This window comes from Homo sapiens, chromosome 17 (genome assembly GCF_000001405.40).
Source record: "Homo sapiens chromosome 17, GRCh38.p14 Primary Assembly".
NCBI classification, from domain to species: domain Eukaryota; kingdom Metazoa; phylum Chordata; class Mammalia; order Primates; family Hominidae; genus Homo; species Homo sapiens.
The window spans coordinates 78,906,761-78,926,778 of NC_000017.11; the positions used below are offsets into that span (position 1 = coordinate 78,906,761).

General features: G+C 54.1%; 1 protein-coding gene across 1 annotated transcript in view, besides 4 other annotated features; it reads right to left on the reverse strand.

Moving 5' to 3' along the window:
* Positions 1-18,627, reverse strand: part of TIMP2 (TIMP metallopeptidase inhibitor 2) — a 72,411-nt gene extending 53,784 nt beyond the window's left edge. Inside the window, exon 1 of the mRNA NM_003255.5 lies at positions 18,199-18,627. Coding sequence (NP_003246.1) covers positions 18,199-18,328 — 130 coding nt within the window. The 5' untranslated portion in view covers positions 18,329-18,627. The remainder of the gene's footprint in view (positions 1-18,198) is intronic.
* Positions 9,101-9,796: an enhancer, noted in NCBI's record as "H3K27ac-H3K4me1 hESC enhancer chr17:76911943-76912638 (GRCh37/hg19 assembly coordinates)". NCBI's record gives its function as "activates a minimal SCP1, AML or CMV promoter by ChIP-STARR-seq in naive H9 embryonic stem cells {active_cell/tissue: H9 hESC(naive)}" and the evidence as "EXISTENCE:reporter gene assay evidence [ECO:0000049][PMID:30033119]".
* Positions 9,797-10,492: an enhancer, noted in NCBI's record as "H3K27ac-H3K4me1 hESC enhancer chr17:76912639-76913334 (GRCh37/hg19 assembly coordinates)". NCBI's record gives its function as "activates a minimal SCP1, AML or CMV promoter by ChIP-STARR-seq in naive H9 embryonic stem cells {active_cell/tissue: H9 hESC(naive)}" and the evidence as "EXISTENCE:reporter gene assay evidence [ECO:0000049][PMID:30033119]".
* Positions 11,943-12,918: an enhancer, noted in NCBI's record as "H3K4me1 hESC enhancer chr17:76914785-76915760 (GRCh37/hg19 assembly coordinates)". NCBI's record gives its function as "activates a minimal SCP1, AML or CMV promoter by ChIP-STARR-seq in naive H9 embryonic stem cells {active_cell/tissue: H9 hESC(naive)}" and the evidence as "EXISTENCE:reporter gene assay evidence [ECO:0000049][PMID:30033119]".
* Positions 16,787-16,856: an enhancer, noted in NCBI's record as "active region_12914". NCBI's record gives its function as "activates an Ori minimal core promoter by ATAC-STARR-seq in GM12878 lymphoblastoid cells {active_cell/tissue: GM12878}" and the evidence as "EXISTENCE:reporter gene assay evidence [ECO:0000049][PMID:35858748]".
* Positions 18,628-20,018: the final 1,391 nt, after the last annotated feature.

The following is a 20,018-nucleotide window of genomic DNA, read 5'->3' on the forward strand; positions in this document are numbered from 1 at the left end:
TTGGTAGAGACGGGGTTTTACCATGTTGGCCAGGCTGGTCTTGAACTCCTGACCTCAGGTGATCCCCCCGCCTCAGCCTCCCAAAGTGCTGGGATTACAGGCGTGAGCCACCGTGTCTGGCCGGCAGGCCCACTTTCTTATTATTTGTGTGATCACCTGGAGTAGCATTTTTTAATTTCCTTCACATTCACAACTTGGCTGTTTGGCACAAAAGGCCTAGCTGTCAGCCTACCTTGGCTTTCAACACGCCTTCCTCACTAAGCTTAATCACTCCTAGCTTTTGATTTAAAGTAAGAGACGTCTCGCTCTGTCTGTCAAGCTTGAATGCAATGGTGTGATCTCGGCTCACTGCAGCCTAGAACTCTCAGGCTCAAGTGATCCTCCCGCCTCAGCCTCCTGAGTAGCTAGGACTACAGGCATGTGCCACCACACCCAGCTAAGTTCTTTAATTTTTTGTGGAGATGGGGTCTTGTCGTGTTGCCCAGGCTGGTCTCGAACTCCTGGCCTCAAGGTGATCCTCCCGCCTCAGCCTCCCAAAGTGCTGGAATTACAGGCATGAGTCCCCACGCCCAGTCCCATTATAGGGTAATTAATTGGCCTAATTTCAATATTGTTGTGTCTCAGGAAAGAGGGAGGCCTAGGCAGAGAGAGAGAGACCAGAAGCCGCCAGTCGGCCAGTTGGTGGAGTCGTCTGAACACAGACAACATGGATCAATTAACTTTGCCATCTCATGTGGGCACAGTTCATGGTGCCCCAAAACAATTACAACAGTAACGCCAAAGACCACTGATCACAGATCACCATAACAGGTATGATAATAATGAAAAAGTTTGAAATATTGCAAGAATTATTAAAATGGGACACAAACACATGAAGTGAACACGTGATGTGAGAAAAAAATGGCACCGATAGACTCAGAGTTGAGCCAGCCGTGATATTCAATTCATGAAAACGCAGTATCTGCAGAGCACAATATAGCGAAGTCCAGTAAAACAGGTGCACCCATGGAATTCATGTTCATTCTAGAGCAACTGGAAAATACACCCTTGCCAAAGAAAGTCTAATGTCCCCTCATGTGTCCAAACGTTCTGGCCAGGTGTGGTGGCTCACGTCTGTAGTCCCGGCACTCTGGGAGGCCGAGGTGGGAGGATCACTTGAGCTCAGGAGTTTGAGACCGGCCTGAACAACATGGCGAAACCCCATCTGTACTAAAAATACAAAAACTTAGCTGGGCATAGTGGTGTGTGTCTGTGGTCCCAGCTACTTGGGAGGCTGAGGTGGGAGGATTGCTTCAGCCCAGGGAGCAGAGGTTGCAGCGAGTGGAGATCGCACCACTGCACTCCAGCCTGGGTGACAAAGCGAGACACTGTCTCAAAAACAAAAAAGAAAAGAAAAAGCTATACCATGTGATGTCTGCAGAGCATCTGATGCTGTGATTTATTTAACCACGCCCCTGCTACTGTATATATAGGTGTTTCTAACGTTTCCGTAAGATAAGCAAGACGGAGATGAATATCCTTCAGCTAAATACTTCCATGTGTCCTAAATTATTTCTCTCAGAAAAACTCCAAGATATAGGGCTGCCTGATCAAAGGGAAGACTTATTTTTAAAGTCCTTGATCACTGCTGCCAAAATGCCCTTCCATGCCTCTAAACTACTCAAATTAAGGCAAAATATACCTGTCACCAAGGCCTTCTGAGGACAACATGCCTCTTGGCCAAAAGGAGCAAAGTGATGTTAAATCCAAAGCTGTGAAATCTAATCTTCTTCCCAGAGACTCGAGCCAGGATCATTCCCCTTGGATTCCTGGCACTGCCACTCTGTGGGTGACCTTGGGCAAGTCATCGGCTGCTCCCCATCCAAACACCTGCCTCACCTCCCCCGCAGAGCCTTTGTAAATAAGGAAGATGTGAAGTCCTTTGTGCTGAAAAGCCCTCGACAGTATTTTTATGCATTTGCCTGGTTGTTTTATCCCTGCTTTCCAGAACTAGTGCACAGAAGGGAAGACCACCACAGACTGTTCCTTTATTCCCTGCCCTGGAGCCAACTGGGCCAAGTGGACAAGACCTCACAAGGGAGAGTCAGGCCAGCAATGCTCATCCCAGCTCCACCCTGACCCCATTCCTCTTGGCATACTCAGTTTCTGCCTGGGCTGGGCAGGCTGGTCCTTGGCTTCTGGGGTCAGCTCAGGATTGAGGATGAAATGAGAGGAGCACCCCCAGAAGAGAAAGTGCTGAACCAGAAGCCCAGGAGAGTCATGTGTGTGCGTGTCCATCTAAGCCTTTGCCCCAAAACAGTAGGTAGGTCAGGTGCAGTGGCTCATGCCTGAAATCTTAGCACTTTGGGAGGCTGAGATGAGAGGATCACTTGAACCCAGGAGTTCGAGACCAGACTGGGCAACATAGCAAGATCTGGTTTCTAAACACAAAAGTAATTTTAAAAATTAGCCAAGCGTGGTGGCACACACCTGCAATCCCAGCTACTCGGGAGGCTGAAGTGGGAGGACTGCTTGAGCCCAGGTGGTTAAAGCTACAGTGAGCTAGGATCACGCCACTGCACTCCAGCCTGGGCGACAGAGCAAGACCCTCATCTCTTTAAAAAAAAAAAAGATAAATCAAGGAGCCCACCTGTCCCCAGAGCTCTCCTGCCACAGTGTCAGCACATGCCTTCTGAGCATAATAATCCCCCCGGACCTGAAGCCCACGAATGACCCCCCCACCCAGTCCTTTCTCCCTCATGTCACGTCAAGTGCTGTGTCACTGAAGCACCCCGTACCCCATCACCTGGTGCCAGAGGCCTGGCCATGGTGCAGCTGGACCCCCAGCTGCCCGTGTGACCGTGGGCAAACGGATTATGTCACCTTCCCAGTGTTAGAGAGACCCAGTGGTGACAAACGTCCTCTGTACCTAGGGTCACCGTAAGGCTCGGGTCTCATCGGGTTTCTGTACATGCTCTAGACGTGCAGCGTCATGCTACCGACACTCCAAGTAGCCGGCCTTGCTGGCACTCCTGGCTTTCTCCCTTATTCCACCCCCCGCCCCCCACAACATTACGGGACCCAGGCCGGGCACTGTGACCCAGGCAGTGTGGATTCTCAACTAGCTGGAGCAAACAGGGAACTAGGGCACAGAAAAGGCAGAGTCACACAACCGGAGGCGGAGTGTCCGTCTAGTACTGGGACCCGGTGTGATGCTTTAAGGAACACACCTGCCGTCCTTATGTGAGCTGGGCTGGGCCTTTATTTTTAATGGACACATAATTGTAATATTTATGGCATATATAGTGATGTTTAGATACATACAATGTATAGTGATCAGATCAGGGTAATTAGCACAGCCATCATCTCAAGCATTTCTTTCTTTGTGGTAGGAACATTCAATGTCCTCCGAGCTATCTGAAACTATACAATATACTTTTGTTAATTTCTTTTTCTTTTTTTTTTTTTTGAGACACGGAGTCTCGCTCTGTAGCCCAGGCTAGAGTGTGGTGGCGTGATCTCGGCTCGCTGCAACCTCCACCTCCCGGGTTCAAGCGATTCTCCTGCCTCAGCCTCCTGAGTAACTGGGATCACAGGTACACACCACCAGGCCTGGCTAATTTTTATATTTTTAGTAGAGACAAGGTTTCACCATTTTGGCCAGGCTGGTCTCAAACTCCTGGCCTCAGGTGATCCGCCCACCTTGGCCTCCCAAAGTGTTGGGATTAAAGGTGTGGGCCACCGCCTGGCCTATTGTTAATTACATTAATCCAACAGTGACATGGAACACTATAACTCATTCCTCCTATCTAGCTGTAATTTTGTATCCTTTAACAAATCTCTCCCTCTCTCCTCCCCCAACCCTTCCCAGACTCTAGTATTCTCTGTTCTACTTTTGACTTCGATGAGATCAACTTTTCTTTTTTTTAGCTTTCCCATATGAGTGAGAACATGCCATGTTTAACTTTCTGTTCCTGGCTTATTTCACTTAACGTCTTCCAGTTCCATTCATGTTGCTGCAAATGACAAGATTTCATTCTGTTTTATGGCTGAGTAGTATTTCATTGTGTAGATGTACCAACATCCACAATGAAATACTATTTCATTCTTTAGCCATTCATCTGTTGTTGGACACTGAGGTTGATTCCATATCTTGGCTATTGTGAACAGTGCTGCCAGGACCATGGGGGTGCAGGTGTCTCTCTGATGCACTGATTCCCTTTCCTTTGGATAAATGCCCAGTCGTGGGACTGCTGGATCATATGGCCGTTCTATTTGTAGTTTTTTGAGGAACCTCCACCATAGTGACTGTACTACTTTCCATTCCCACCCACCGCATATACGAGTTCCCTTTTCTCCCCTTCCTTGCCTGAGCTGGGCCTTTCTGATCATCTGTCCCCGTCCCTTGAACTCTTGATCTGGACTGAGGGAAGAATGGTGGCAGAGGCGAGCTGGGGAGCAGGGAGGAACCAGGCTGTCGCAGGAGAAACAGAATATTGCGAGCCAGCCGTGTGGAATGGAAAGGGGAAGCTGGTCTTCCTGCCCCACACTCCTGCCTTTCTTCCTTAAGGGCTCCTTGGACAGAGACTGCAGGTTTCTCAGAAGCACTGTCCAGGATCTCAACATTCTAGAAGGGTCTAGGACAAACTAACTAACTATTGAGCCCCTCCAGTGCTTTTGTTGTTTTTGTTTTTTGTTTTTTGTTTTTTGAGACAGAGTCTCACTCTGTCACCCACGCTGGAGTGCAGTGGCGTGATCTCAGCTCACTGCAACCTCCGCCTGGGTTCAAGTGATTCTCCTGCCTCAGCCTCCCGAGTAGCTGGGATTACAGGTACCCGCCACCATGCCCAGCTAATTTTAAAAATATTTTTAGTAGAGATGGGGTTTCGCCATGTTGGCCAGGCTTGTTTCAAATTCCTGACCTCAAGTGATCCGCCCACCTTGGCCTCCAAAAGTGCTGAGATTACAGGCATGAGCCACCCCACCTGGCCTCCATTTGACTCACTCATCAAAAATTTAATCTTGGCAGGGTGTGGTGGCTCACGCCTATAATCCCAATACTTTGGGAGGCCATGGCGGGTGGATCACTTGAGGTCAGGAGTTCAAGACCAGCCAGGCCAACATGGTGAAACCCTATCTCTACTAAAAACACACCAAAAAAAAAAAAAAAAAAATTGAACTGGGCATGGTGGCACACGCCTGAAATCCCAGCTACTGGGGAGGCTGAGGCAGGAGAATTGCTTGAAGCCGGGAGACAGAGGATGCAGTGAGCCAAGATTGTGCCACTGCACTCCAGCCTGGACAACAGAGTGAGACTCTGTCTCAAAAAAAAAATATGAATCTCCCATGGCACCACACTGAAGAGTCTGATCTTGCTTTTACAGAAGAGGAAACCAAGGCTCAGAGAGGCACACAGTCGGGATTCAGAACCAGTCCCACTTGACTCCAAAGCCCAGGCTCTTTTCTCCAATACTTTTCATGTCGCCTCTTTTCTCTGAAATGTCCATTTCCTCATTCTGTCCTTGGTTAAGCAGCAGCTGTTGGCGGGTGCTCTGTCCAGGCCTCCGCTACCATGACGAGCCTTGGCAAAGCCTGCCCCACTGCCAGTTTGCTTTGCCACGTCTGTGTCAGGAAAGCTCAATCAATCTCTCCCGATTACAGATCAGAAAGGGCCAAATAAACTCTCAACCCAAGCCAGATTCTGTCCCTGAAGATGCAGTAAGGGGGTCTCGGTACCCACAGAACATCCCACCACAGAAAGCCAGGCTCCAGCCTGAAAGTCCATCTTCCCTGCTCTAGCCCACCCGTGCGATGAAGAGCACAGAAGAGGCGGGTGAAGGCATTGCATCTTCAGCATCGGCTTGGAGAATGACACCCTGCAGGTTCCACTTCTTCCCAGGCCACCTGCTTGCTTCTGGAAAGCAGGGAACAGGCAATCCGGGGAGAGAGGAGCCAGCCACACAAGGACTGGGAAGCCCAGACCTGTGCCATCAGCCTGCGATGACTTAGGCTGGGGATCCGAAAAGGTTTCTATGAACAGCCAGCTGGTAAGTAATTTAGACTTTGAGGCCCATACAGTCCTTGATCACCGCCATTCAACTCTGTTGTTATAGCACAAAAGCCACGTGGGTTTGGCCTTACCAGTGGGCGTGGCTGTGTTCCAATAAAACTTTATTTGCACTAGGCCAGGCACCGTGGCACAAGCCTGTAATCCCAGTACTTTGGGAGGCCGAGGCGGGCAGATCACCTGAGGTTGGGAGTTCCAGACCAGCCTGGCCAACATAGTGAAACCCTGTCTCTACTAAAAATACAAAAATTAGCCGGGTGTGGTGGCAAAAAGAAAAAAAAATATTTACAACAACAGGCCATCAGCCCAGCAGTGGGTCTAGTTTGCCAACCGCTGGAAAAAGCCAACAACATTTTGGGAGGCCGACTGCCGGCTACAGGACCTCGCCATACCAACAAGGGCTGAGACCCGCGGCTCTGCAGGGCTCTAACAACAGCGTTTGACCTGAGTCTATCTGGGGAAACATCACGTGAACCCACGTTGAGGCCCTACTCTGGAAGCTGCAAAATTAGAGATGATGGCTGTGCGGCTCTGTGAATGTACTCAAACCGCTGAACTGTGCACTTTAGAGGAGTGACCTCATGGTATGTGAATTACATCTCAATAAAGCAGCTCAAAAGCAGGCTGGGTGCAGTGGTTCACGCTTGTAATCCCAGTGCTTTGGGAGGCCGAGGTGGGAAGACGGCTTGAGCCCAGGCGTTCAAGACCAGACTGGGCAACGTGGCAAAACCTCGTCTCGACAAAAAATGTAAAAATTAGCTGGGTGTGCTGGTATGGTCCCATAGTTCCAGCTACTTGAGAAGCTGAGGTAGGAGGACTGCTTAAGCCCAGGAGGCTGAGGCTGCAGTGAGCCATGATCATGCCACTTTACTCCAGCCTGGGTGACAGAGCAAGAACCTGTCTCAGAAAAACAACAACAAAAAAAAACAAAAAACATAGGCCGGGCACAGTGGCTCACACCTGTAATCCCAGCTACTCTGGAGGCTGAGGCAGGAGAATTGCTTAAACCCAGGAGGCGGAGGTTGCAGCGAACCAAGATTGCACCACTGCACTCCAGCCTGGGCCACGGAGCGAAACTCTGTCTCGGGGAAAAAAAAAAAAAAAAAAAAATTCTAGGCAATGGATACAATCAGGATGATTTTTCTTGCTTTTTGCTTAAGTGTCTTTTCCATGATTAACACATATAGTTGTGTAATTATTTTAAAGTTAGAAGGCATTTGGGACGTGAATGGAGAGACAGAGAAGTTTTCTTTATGATGGAGAGAGGCGGAAGGGACGGCTTCCTCTGCGAGGGTGCAAGGGCTGACCTGGGAGAGCAGGCAGCTGCGACTAACGCTGGCTGGGGCCTGCCTGACTTCCCCTTGAGTCCTCAGAGGCACAGGTTATAACCCAATGTTTTATTGCTTCTTGAGAACATTATTGGCATTCATCTGCCTTCGAAATTTTGGCTATTCATTTATTTATTTATTTATTTATTTATTTATTTATTTGAGATGGAGTCTCGCTCTGTCTCCCAGGCTGGATGGAGTACGGTGGCCCGATCTCGGCTCACTGCAACCTCCACCTCCTGGGTTCAAGTGATTCTCCTGCCTCAGCCTCTTGAATAGCTGGGATTACAGGCACCCGCCACCATGCCCGGCTAATTTTTGTATTTTTAGTAGAGATGGGGTTTCATGATGTTGGCCAGGCTGGTCTCGAACTCCTGACCTCAGGTGATCCACCCACCTTGGCCTCCCAAAGCACTGGGATTACAGGGATGAGCTACTGCACCCAGCCAAGCTGTTTTTTTTTTCTTTATAGACAGAGTCTTGCTCTGTCCCCCAGGCTGGTACAACCATAGCTCACTGCAGCCTCAAACTCCTGGGCTCCAGTGATCCTCTCACTTCAGCCTCCCGAGTAGGTGGGACTACAGGCACGTGCCACCACCCCTGGCTAATTTTTAAAATTTTAATTTATTTTATGTAGAGATGAGGTCTTGCTATGTTGCCTAGGCTGATCTGGAACTCCTGGGCTCAAGTGATCCTCCCGCCTCAGCCTCCCAAAGTGCTGGGATTACAGGTGTAAGCCACCGCGCCTGGCCAGTCTGGGCTTTTTCTTTTTTTTTTTTTGAGACGGAGTCTTGCTCTGTTGCCCAGGCTGGCATGCAGTGGCACGATCTCGGCTCACTGCAACCTCCGCCTCCCGGGTTCAAGTGATTCTCCTGCCTCAGCCTACTGAGTAGCTGGGATTACAGGTGCCCGCCACCACGCCCAGCTAATTTTTGTATTTTTAGTAGAGATGGGGTTTCATGATGTTGGCCAGGCTGGTCTCAAACTCCTGACCTCAGGTGATCCACCCACCTCAGCCTCCCAAAGTGCTGGGATTACAGGCGTGAGTCACTGCAACCGGCCCAGTCTGGGCTTTTGAAAGTACTGTGCTCTGAACATTTTTCTAGGTCATAAACACAAATCTGTAATATCATTTGAAATGTCTGCTCACTCTGTTGCGGCAGGGAGAAAGATTAATTGATTTAGCTTATCTCCAGCAGACAGGCAAACCTCATGAACAAGGCCAGCCTCAGGAGCTCCTCTCCCTCCTCAGTGGCTCCATCCGTCACCTGTAGAGCTTCAGCCCAGCTCCACAGCCTAGACCATTCATCCCCAAGCCAGTATCAGTCTGAATCAGCACCATTCTGTTGATGTACCTCCTTTTAAAAGCCGTCTCTCTCTCTTTTTTTCTTCTTTTTTTTTTTGAGACAGAGTCTCACTCTGTCACCCAGGCAGGAGTGCAGTGGTGCGATGTCGGCTCACTGCAACCTCTGCTTCCCAGGTTCAAGCGATTCTCATGCCTCAGCCTCCCGAGTAGCTGGGATTACAGGCGTGCACCACCACGCCCAGCTAATTTTTTTATTTTTAGTAGACATGGAGTTTCACCATGTTGGCAAGGCTGGTCTTGAACTCCCGACCTCAGGCGATCCACATGCCTCGGCCTCCCCAAGTGCTGGGATTCCAGGCATGATTCCACCGTGCCCGGCCTAAAAACCATCTCTTCTTTTACTCTGCTATTTCCTAGCCAGCTAACCCTGAGCAGGTTCCTTAGTGGGCCTGTGCCTCCGTTGGATCGTCTGTACAATGGGGATGAGGATAGGGAAGGAAATGGGTTGACACTAGTGAAGAGCAAGAACATACCTCCAAGCCCTTGGCACCTCTGCCAGCTGTTATTGTTGCCATAGTCATTATCACCATGTCATGATTCACCTCCCTGGCTGCTCCCAGGCCTCCCTCAGGGCGGGGTGGGGAGGAACAAGAACACAAAGACAGGGAGAGCCAGGGTTTGATGCAGAAAGAGCTGGTGTCCCCCACTAGCTCCGAGAGCTTCCTGGGAGGCAGGAAATTCGCCTCTCCTTTTTGGAGGTGTGGAAGTGGGGGCAGAGAGAGGCCACCTGTCCCGGATCGCTCTGCTGGACTCAATCTGGGGCCAGCATTTGACCCCCGCTCACCCTGTTTGCTATGAATGTCAGTTCCCCTCGCTACTGCTGGCTCCCTTCCCCCTCAATGCTCCGTTTCCTGTTCCCTCCAAGGCCCCGTTACACAATTTCCACTGTCTGCTGAAGTTCTAGCTCAAATCCCTCTCGCCGAGACTTTCTGGTCACCAGATTCCAGCAGAACTCAACAGAGACCTCTACCCGCCTGAGCTCCTGACCAGGTTAGAGGGCATCTGGCTCCCAGGCACTGGGTCAAGCTCCAGAGGCATCTCCTGTGTCTGCCCGCGACCCATGGCCCCGCTCAGGGCCTGCCTTCCATCTCCTGGGTCTTCCCCAGTGCAGGTGGGAGCTCTGCTCCCCTGGTAACTGCGAGCCTCTCAACACCACCTTCCTCCTCAGTGTCATCCCCCTCCTGTCTGCCCCCTCTCCCCCAGTGCAGGGGCCATAAAGCCTTCCCCGGAGTCCCACTGCCAGGTCCCACTGCCGGGCCTCCAGGCTTTGCTGCTCCACCTGGGCTCAAGCCTGGCCATACTTTGTTCTAATGACTCTGTCCCCCTGTGGTACACTCTCTACCACAGCCACCCTGGGCTCCCCATACCCACCCCAGGACCTTTCCTCGGGGCTTATCTTAGCTCTGATAAGATCCACCCCTCAGGGCCCACAATCTCAACAGTGTCCTAACCTCGGTAAGAGTCTCTAGCAAGAGGTGCAGCCTGCAAGATGATCTTCGCATTCCTGCGCTCACTTCCTTGAAGATGGGCACCATGGCTTTGGAGTTTGAGACCAGCCTGGCCGACAGGGTGAAACCCCGTCTCTACTAAAAATACAAAAAATTAGCCGGGCGTAGTGGCGGGCGCCTGTAGTCCCAGCTACTTGGGAGGCTGAGGCAGGAGAATGGCGTGAACCCAGGAGGCGGAGCTTGCAGTGAGCCGAGATCCCGCCACTGCACTCCAGCCTGGGCGACAGAGCGAGACTCCGTCTCAAAAAAAAAAAAAAAAAAAAATACAAAAATTAGCTGGGCATGGCAGCACACACCTGTAATCCCAGCTACTCGGGAGGCTGAGGCAGGAGAATTGCTTGAACCCGGGAGGCGGAGGTTGCAGTGAGCCAAGATCGCACCACTGCATTCCAGCCTGGGCGACAGAGCAAAACTCCGTCTCAGAAAACTAAATAATTCCTTGACACACTTGCCATAGTATTTCTGTGTACGGTAGGCACCCAAATTCTATTGTAAAACAAAATATAAAAACACTTAAGTGAATAAATTCTGTAAGAAGCAGGTATCTAAGACATAGACACCAGGCCCTTCCTAACTGGTGAGGTCTGGAGTTCCCTCAGGCCATGTGTGGTCCAGCTGTGATCAGAGTTTGAGATCAAAGAGCAGCTGCCGTCTACCAAGGACGTCTTCCCCATGGAAGACAACCACAGAACCTCCCAGGTCTTTGGAGCCATCCCTGAGACCAGCTAGGAGGCCAAAGGACACTGATGGCATCCTTTCCCCAGAGCTGGTTACAGGTCTGCCTCGGACTCCCCTCGTGGTGGTAGTGTCTGAGCGGATCCTGGCTGCCCAGGGCGGCCGAGTGCAGAATGAGGGTGGAAGAGGAGAGAAAGGCAAGATCGTTACCATCGCTCAGCTCCGAGACTAGGCAGATACTCACAAGAAACAGAAGACTCGAAACCTATAAAAAGACTCCTTTTAAATGGCAGTGACTTGACGTTTGGAGGGCCACAGGCACCTTTGAGAAGTTGGCGGCTGCCACTGTCCACAAAAAAAACACGTACGCGTGCACACACAAACACACACACACACACACACACACACACACACACAACTTCACTTACAGTTTCCGGGCTTGTGACCACCCCCAAACCCGCCAGGCCTATCTCTGGCTGGGTGTTCACACACTCTGGGTTAGGACCCCTCTTTTATAAAGACTGTTCCTCAATTTGCTTCTTAGCGTAAACACACTCTCAACCTGACTTGCTGGGGCTCCGGAAGCTTTCCCTGGGCTCCAGTCTGACCTGGCTGACTGGGGAGTAGCTCAGCCCTCAGTTGTAAGGTGGGAATCATCGGGGCGGGGTCTCTGTGCCCTTCCCTCTGCCGCTGCACAGCCACGTCCCAGCAAATGCACGAGGGCACCAGGGCGTCAGGGCACAGGCTGCAGGGGTCCAGGCAGGTGGGCCCTGGGAGGTCCTGGGGACACCAGCTTCATCCTGCCTGCCACTCTGAGACATCCATGCTCCTGACCATCTCTCCATTGGGAAGTCTGGGTCTGCCCGCCTTCCCTCCTCCCAGCAATCTCAGGGCAGCTCATCTGCCTGCTTACTCCACCCCCCGACACTGAGGTGGTCAGCCTCCACACTTTCTGTTCAGACCCACGGGCAACAAAAACAAAACCTTGGCCAAGCACTCACAATATCAGATATTCATTAAAAAAGTATATATAGGCCGGGCACCGTGGCTCACATCTGTAATCCCAGCACTTTGGGAGGCCAAGGTGGGCAGATCACTTGAGCTCAGGAGTTCGAGACCAGCCTGGGCAACATGGCGAAACCCCATCTCTACAAAAAATTAAAAAAATTAGCTGGGCGTGGTGGCTGCTTGGGAGACTGAGGTGGGAGAATCGCTTGGGCCAGGAAATTGAAGCTGCAGTGATCTGTGATTGCACCACTGCACTCCAGCCTGGGTGACACAGCAAGACTCCGTCTCAAAAAAAAAAAAAAAAATTATATTTGGAGTACAACTCTGAATCCATATGCTAACTATTCATAACATTCTTAGCACCGAGGCTGTACTGGGCACCCCTCCGGAGACGACTGGTCTATGCCAACTTTGGCGGGCGGCAGCAGCACCTGGAGAGTCCTGAAACTCCAGTGCCACCCCCAGGCCCGCTCCAGCACGCGGAGTTAGGCGGCTGCCTTCTACCAGGCTCCCTGGGCAACGCCCGCTGTCATTCCACAGCCAGAACATCTTTGGTGGCTGCGTGGGTCCCGGGATGGAATGCAGATGTCACATGACAAGCCAGAGCCGTGACATTTGGCCCCAATCTCCTTGTGGGTCCCCCTGAATCCCCAGGCTCCTCTTTGGCCTACTCTGTACCCAGAACTCTCACCTTTCCTGGGGCAGTTGGTCCCTTGGCTTAGAACACCTGTGCACACCCCACCCTGCTGCCGCTAAATGACCAGGGGTTACGGTCCCCAGTGCCGTCCTCCAGATGCGGCTTCTTCACCCTCCCTTACCTTGATTTCTTCACTCTGCCCTCCCCTCTTGAAAAAGACCATCTGCTGGGTGCGGTGGCTCAAGCCTGTAATCTCAACACTTTGGGAGGCCGAGGTGGGCGGATCACGAGGTCAGGAGATCGAGACCATCCCGGCTAACACGGTGAAACCCCGTCTCTAATAAAAATTCAAAAAAATTAGCCGGGCATGGTGGCGGGCACCTGTAGTCCCAGCTACTCGGGAGGCTGAGGCAGGAGAATGGCGTGAACCCGGGAGGCGGAGCTTGCAGTGAGCCAAGATAGCGCCACTGCACTCCAGCCTGGAGACAGAGTGAGACTCCATCTCGAAAAAAAAGAAAAAGAAAAGAAGACCATCCTAGCCATGCAGCCACTTGCCCTCCGTCCCTGGTTTGTGAGCCTGTGCGTGCACCGGGGGACAGAGAGAGTGTCCAGGGCATGCACCCCTCCTGCCCCTGCCACTGCCACGTCTGCCTGTCTTTGCTTCCTTCTTATCTCCTCCTCCCTGCTGTTGCATCCCTCCTCGCAGCTGCCTGGGAAGCCTCGGGCAGACCTCTTTGTTGTTTCCGAACCCAAGACGTTCACCCCTACACACGACCCCCACTGCATCGAGTCAGTGGTTCTGCATCAGGACTGGAGACGGCTGCCCGCGCCTCTCAGTCTCCCAGGAGTCATCTATGCCCTGTTCTCCATGTGCTCAGATGTCGCCACAGAGTCTGAACCTCTCAGCCCACACCAGTGGCATCTACCTAGCAACCTGGCTGCGACAGCAGGGAGGAGGGAGGCAGTACCCAAGCCCACCTGCAGCTCACAAACGACAGGCCAGGACTGCGTACGTGGCTCTGCACCCCCAGAAGGGTGCAAATAGGGGAGGCCCGAGAGGCTCTGAGGCTGGCACTGTCCTCAGATCCCAGATAGGGAGAAACGTGTGTTGTCCAGAGAGCTCCTTCCAGCACCTGCCATACCTCCAGGCTGTGCACAGCTCTCCCTGCTCTTCCAGTCCCCCTGCCTTGGGAGCTGCCAGTAATTCAGGGGTCAGTGACTCCCCTGACAGATCCTGTCCCTCCAAGGACGCTGTTCAAAACCAAGCCGAAGAGCCTCAGTTCTCCCCACAGCTCCCTCCTCAACCTACCATGGGGCCTTCTATCCTCACATCTTGCAAATGCATTTCACATTGTCACATGATTACTCCTGAATTTTGGTTATTTCGAAAGTTTATCTGTTGTTAATTATTTACCGAAACCACACTGAGTGGACTGACTTTATACCACACCTGGGCAGTTGAGGAGGGGAGGCCTGCTCACCACGCCGGGCAGCAGGAACCCCCTTCCACACCGCCTGGTGCCAAGATGTACCACCCCCTGCATCCCCCACCACAGGGACAATGTCTTGCTTCTCCCTTACATCCCCGGGGGCAGAGGCAGCCACTCCATAATTGCTTGTTGAAACACAGACAAGCCCAATATGAAAATCAAGATGAACAAAACTGACAATACAGATCGATCACATACTTCGCACAACGAGTTGCCAACAGTTTCTTTAAAAAGCGCCACGCCGCCCCCTCGCATGGAAGGCCTGACCCAGCTCACATGAATCTGATGCTGTGTTGCTTTTCCTGAGCACGTGTCCTGAAGACAGAGCCATTTTTGACTGCGTGCTGTGTGTTTTCTGGGGTGGCCCCTACTATCTGTCTGGTCCCTGTCACTGTGTCCCCCAGGAACCAGGTCACCCTTGGCTGTTCACCCCAGAAAATAGCAGTTGTTCCCCCTCTTGGTTGTGGACCCCTCTCTAGCTGGAGCTGGAGCTCCTCGGGGGATTTGCAGAGGACAGTTTCTGGAGGTGGGAACATGTGAGGAAGATGTCATCGCAGAGGTCTTCTAGGATAATGTGTGGCCTTAGGTACTGCCACCCAAGCCAGAGGAGAGGTTTTATTCTCTGCATCCAGAGAGCTCCTGGCTTTACCCTTGAGTCCAGAAACGGGCCCAAGCAGCCCGAGTCTGCCAAGTAGCTCAGCTGGCTAAGTGGCTCCAGGCATGGGACTGCCTGAATGGTGAGCCCAAAGCTAATTTCCAGCCAGATCCCTGTAGCTGTGCAGGCTGGCAGTAGATGTGAAGGATTTCACTGGGTGAGAGGGAGCCGGGCCAGCAGCGCATTTGAACAGTACTGTAACTGAGACACAAAATGCTTCCCGTTTGTGCTGGCCTTGCTGGAAAGGACAAGGACCTGGGGCCTTCCAGGAAGAAATCAGGTCACCTCTTACCATCCCTTATCCTAAACATCACCACCTCATCATGAATTATCTTTGCCGACCACAGTTCCGGTCCTACCAACTGCAAGAGCTGCTAGGGAGATACCTCCCAGAAATCCTCAGCCGGGCAGACAGAAATCTGACTGTTTCTTAAGCCAATTGCCTCTTGTAGACACCAAGCCATTTAACAAGGCTGCATGCAGCCAAGAGTAAAAGGAGCCAGCTTGCCACATAACAAGCCAGCCTTTATTAACCTCCACTGTACCCCCTTTCTGAGACCCCTGGGTCACAGCCCTGGTTAAATCACCTGTGGGCCTTTTAAAACTGCAAAAGCCGAAGTCTGAGCAAGACCCTCTGTATCTGCAAAGGGACCTAGACCTGAGCAATCTTTAAGAATCTTCCAGGCAATTCTGCTCTGAGCCAGAATGGGGAACCATTGCTGAGAAAGTCACAAACCTGCATCGCTTCGAGGAGAATCGAACACTGGAGAATAGACAGGCCGCTGTCGTCCCTGTGGGATTTGTTCCGGGACCCTACCCTGGGATGTCCTGGGTTGTTTATCCCAAGTTGGTTGAGCACGGAAAGGGTGACTGGGAATAAGAGAAGGCAGCCTGGTGTATGGGCTGAATTACGTCCCCCCTCAAATGCACATCTAGTCAGATCCTATGAATATGACCTTATTTGGAAATAGAGTATTTGTTGATCTATCAAGATGAAGTCATACTGGATTAGGGTGGGCCCTAAATCCAATGGCTGCTGTCCTTAGAAGAACAGGGCAATTTGGCCGGGCGCGGTGGCTCACGCCTATAATCCCAGCACTTTGGGAGGCTGAGGCAGGCGGATCACCTGAGGCCAGGAGTTCGAGACCAGCCTGGCCAACATGGCGAATTCCTGTCTCTACTAAAAATACAAAAAATTAGCCGGGTGTGGTGGCAGGTGCCTGTAACCCCAGCTACTTGGGAGGCTGAGGCAGGAGAATTGCTCGAACCCAGGAGGCGGAGGCTGCAGCGAGCCGAGATTGCGCCATTGCACTCCAGCCTGCTCTCCAAAAAAAAAGAACAGGGAAATTTGGACACAGAGACACACGAGAGAAGGCCATGTGAAGACAGGCGGAAATGGAAGTGATGTGTTCCTTGAAAATGGAACCAAGCAACATCAAGGAGAGAGGCCTGGAAGAGATTCTCCCTCACAGCCCCCAGAAGGAACTGGCTCTGTGGACACCTTTTCAGACTTCTGGCCTCCTGAGCTACAGAGAATCGATTCCTGTTCTTTTAAGCCCTCCCATTTGTGGTAGTTTGTCACAGCGGCCACAGGAAGCGAATGCCCTGAGCTCTGCAGTGCAACTCTGGCATCTGACTGGGCCTCTGAGCCGGGATGGGGTGAAAAGTTTTAGCTACAGGATGATTTTGATGCAAAGATTTAGACACAAATGCCAGGCAACCCAGAAGAGGAGAGTGCTGCGCTGAGCATGAAGGAGGCGGGAGGCACGCACTGCAGCCCTCCACCCTCTGCCATCCTGGATCCACACCCCACGCAGAAACAGCTCCCAGCTCAGTGGCCGCCTTAACTTATGCCAAGCAAGGACAGAGTGGCTGCCTGGACATTCTCCCACACAGCTGAGGAGTGTGTGTGTGGGGCGGGGTGGGGGGGGGGGCGGGAGGGGGAGGGGTCCCAAGGCCCAACTCCTACAAATCCAACTCCCAGGTCCTTTTATCCACAGCCTCCTTCTGGGCCTTGGCTACATCCTGCCCCAGCACGTGCTGGTGAGCCAAGGAGCCTGGACAGGCCTGCACTCCTCGTGGACCCCCAGAGAAAGGCCCATTATGGCTCCCTCATCAAAGGAACCTCTCCTTCACCCACAAATCTTGCTGAGCACCAAGGCTAAACTGGAGAAAAGACCTCATTTCCCCCAAACTGGGTTTTGTGGAAACTGACACAGGCACACACCAAGCCTTCCGCCCAGGTGGCCTGAGCCACCTGAGACCTGTGATCTCAATAGATTGGTGCAACTGAAAACTTCCCCAGCTGGGCACGCAGCTCCTAGGGCTAACCGGGGTGGGGCAAGAAGCCGTGGGCGGGGTATGGGAAGGGCGTGGCTGACAGCAGGAGAAACAGAAAGTCCCACCTCCACTCTGGGCAGGTGAGGGGGCCCCCGCCTTGCTCCATCTGCCCTGGACAGGTCACTCGACTGAGACTCAGACATAAGAAGGAAGGAGGGCAGGGGGCTCCGAGACCACCTGCCGTGTAGCCAGACTTGCCCCAGGAAAACCATGCTGACCAGCACCAGGGCTGCAGAGGCTTGAGGTGCAGGACCAGGGTGGAAACTTCGAGCCAGCGGGTTCCTCCCATTTCTGCTGGTCCTCCCCCTCCATGGATCAGAACAAATAACTGGGCCCCTCCTGCCTCCCTCCATGGCGCCTGTCTTTTGGGGGCTAGGAGTCCGGAGGTCATGGGTATTTGCTGGGGAATCTGAGCAGCAGCACAGTCCCACGTGCCGGGTCCGGTCACCAAAGTCTCCAGCTTTTGTGGACGTCCCGAAAAAGCGGAACATTCGGGGGTCCCGGTCCCTGCCCAGCCAGTTTGCAGGGCCTCCTGGGCAGGGCGCAAGCAAGGAGCCACGCCAGGAGACGCCACCGGCTTTTTCACCTGCCCCTCTGGGCCTGTGGAACCTGCCTCGGGTAGGGCGGGCTTCCATCCCACCCTGGCTTGATCGGGGAGCCCCCAAATGGGGCTGGTGGGAGAAGCCCCAGCAGAGAAGCCCTTCCCCACCCAGCCCCAAGCCCAGAGAAGCCCAACTCCCACCTTATCTGCGAAAGTTTCTTCCTGGGGTCCCCAGTCCTCCAGCCCCCCGCCCCCACGCCGTGTCCCCCACGCTCCCCGCCCCCAGCGCTGGCATCCCAGGGCGCGCCGCCTGCCAAAAGCCAAACTGGCTCCCTTTCCTGGGGCTGGAGCTGCGGCGGAATTTCGGTGGAATTTTGAGGTTGAGACGCATCTCGGCAAAGAGAGGGAAAGAAAGGGAGAGGAGGGAGGGGGGAAAGAAAGTCGGCTCTGGGCGTCCACTTGCAGGATTCGAGAAGGCGCCGAGGGACCAGGAGGCGGGCGCTGGGGTCCCTCGGCCAGCGGCGGGCGGGCGGGGCGTCTGCGAACCCTCGGGGTCGCGGGGGAGGTGGGGCCCCGCGCGGGGGCTGGGGTCGCCGCTCCTTACCTACATCTGCATTGCAAAACGCCTGTTGCGGGTGCACCGGGGAGCAGCTGCAGGCGTCGGCCGGGCGAAGCAGCGTCGCCAGCAGCAGGAGGCCGAGCGCCAGCCGCAGGGTGCGGGCCGCGGCGCCCATGGCGGGCCGGGGGGCTGGGCGGGCGGGGGCCGCCGCTGGGGGGTCCGGGCGCTGCTCGCGGCGGCGGGCTGGGGGCGCGGGCGGGGGCTGAGCCGGGGCCGAGGCGGGCCCCTCCCGCGCGGCTCACCCTCCTCACCTGCCCCGCTCGGCCGCGCAAACTTTCTCTCCTCTTTGTCTCGGGGGCGCGAGGGGAGGGGCGCGGGGCGCAATTCGCCGGGCGGGGCGGCGGGGTGGGGGGCGGCGGGCGAGCGGCGCTGCGGTTCTCGGCGGCCGCGCTGCCTTCTACGGATGTGTTTGCTGCGGGCTTGGGCCGGGCCGCAGTTTTATTGCGCTCGGAGGATTTTCTGCTCCTCCTCCCGGTGGCTGGCGGCCAATGCAGGCTCTGGGCGCTCCCAGCAGCCCCCTCCTCCCCCTCCGCCCGCGCCTCCCCCCAGCCCGCGCTTTTGTTGTGCCCGGCCTGGCACGTCGGGGGCTTCCCGCACCACCTGGCGCCCGCGACCCGCACCCGCGCGGGGGTCCCCGGACGCCCCCAGCCCCCCGACCCCGGTCCCCGCTGCGTGGCCTTCTGCGCCCGGGGTCCCTGACTCAGCGCGGGGGACTCGCGCCCCGTTCTTCCAGGACACCAGGCGACCCACCCGCTACCCTTTCCCCTTCAGCTCGACTCTGGAGGGCTACGCTGCTCCGTCCCCCGCCACCCCGGGGTCCCTTCGAGCCCAGCCTCGGGGCGAGCCAAGGGGTGTCCTTTGGAGCAGGGGCCGTTCCCTGTCGCCACCTCCCCGTTTCTGTGGGCGGGTGGCCTATTGAGAAACTGACAGGATCCCTTTTTCAAATGGAGGCCTTAGAATTTTAAGTGCGCCTGGCCAGTTTAGTTGGGGGGTGGGGGGTGTGGTTACTGTGAACAAAACAGGATTTTATATAAACTGGCCATATTTTTGACCAGCCAACAAGAGACGGGGGTGGGCCCAGGCGCCCAGGAGCCAGTAGGATCGCAGCAGAGGCATTGGCTGGGTTCCGCTCACAGTTTCCTCTCTTAGTCCACAAATGTGGGAGCCGAAGGACTTTTCCCAAAACAGTTTTGTGTTCCAGGAAAGACCCAGGCATATGAAGGGATGAACATGTGTAGGGTGGTGAGGCGGGCTTCCTGGCTGTGAACCTGCCTGTGCCCGGCTGTGGGCACCCACCCTGTACATTTGGTGTGTGCCCCGTGGGGCTCCATGGACACTGCTGCACTCAGGTCAGCACTCCAGCCCTCAGGTCAGCATTCCAGAGTGTTTGCAGTCCAGCTAGGGAGAGGGAAGCCCAGGAAAATGACACAGGAAGAATCAGGGCGGGCACGGTGGCTTGCGCCTGTAATCCCAGCACTTTGGGAGGCCGAGACAGGAGGATCACTTGAGGCCAGGAGTTTGAGACCAGCCTGGCTAGCATTTAGTAGAGACAGTGAAACCCCGTCTCTACTAAAAATACAAAAAATTAGCCGGGCTTGGTGGTGGGCGCCTGTAGTCCCAGCTACTCGGGAGGCTGAGGCAGGAGAATGGCATGAACCCAGGAGGCGGAGCTTGCAGTGAGCCGAGATCATGCCACTGCACTCCAGCCTGGGGGACAGAGCGAGACTCCATCTCAAAAGAAAAAAAAAAAAAAAAAAAGCCCGGGTGCAGTGGCTCATGCCTGTAATCCCAGCACTTTGGGAGGC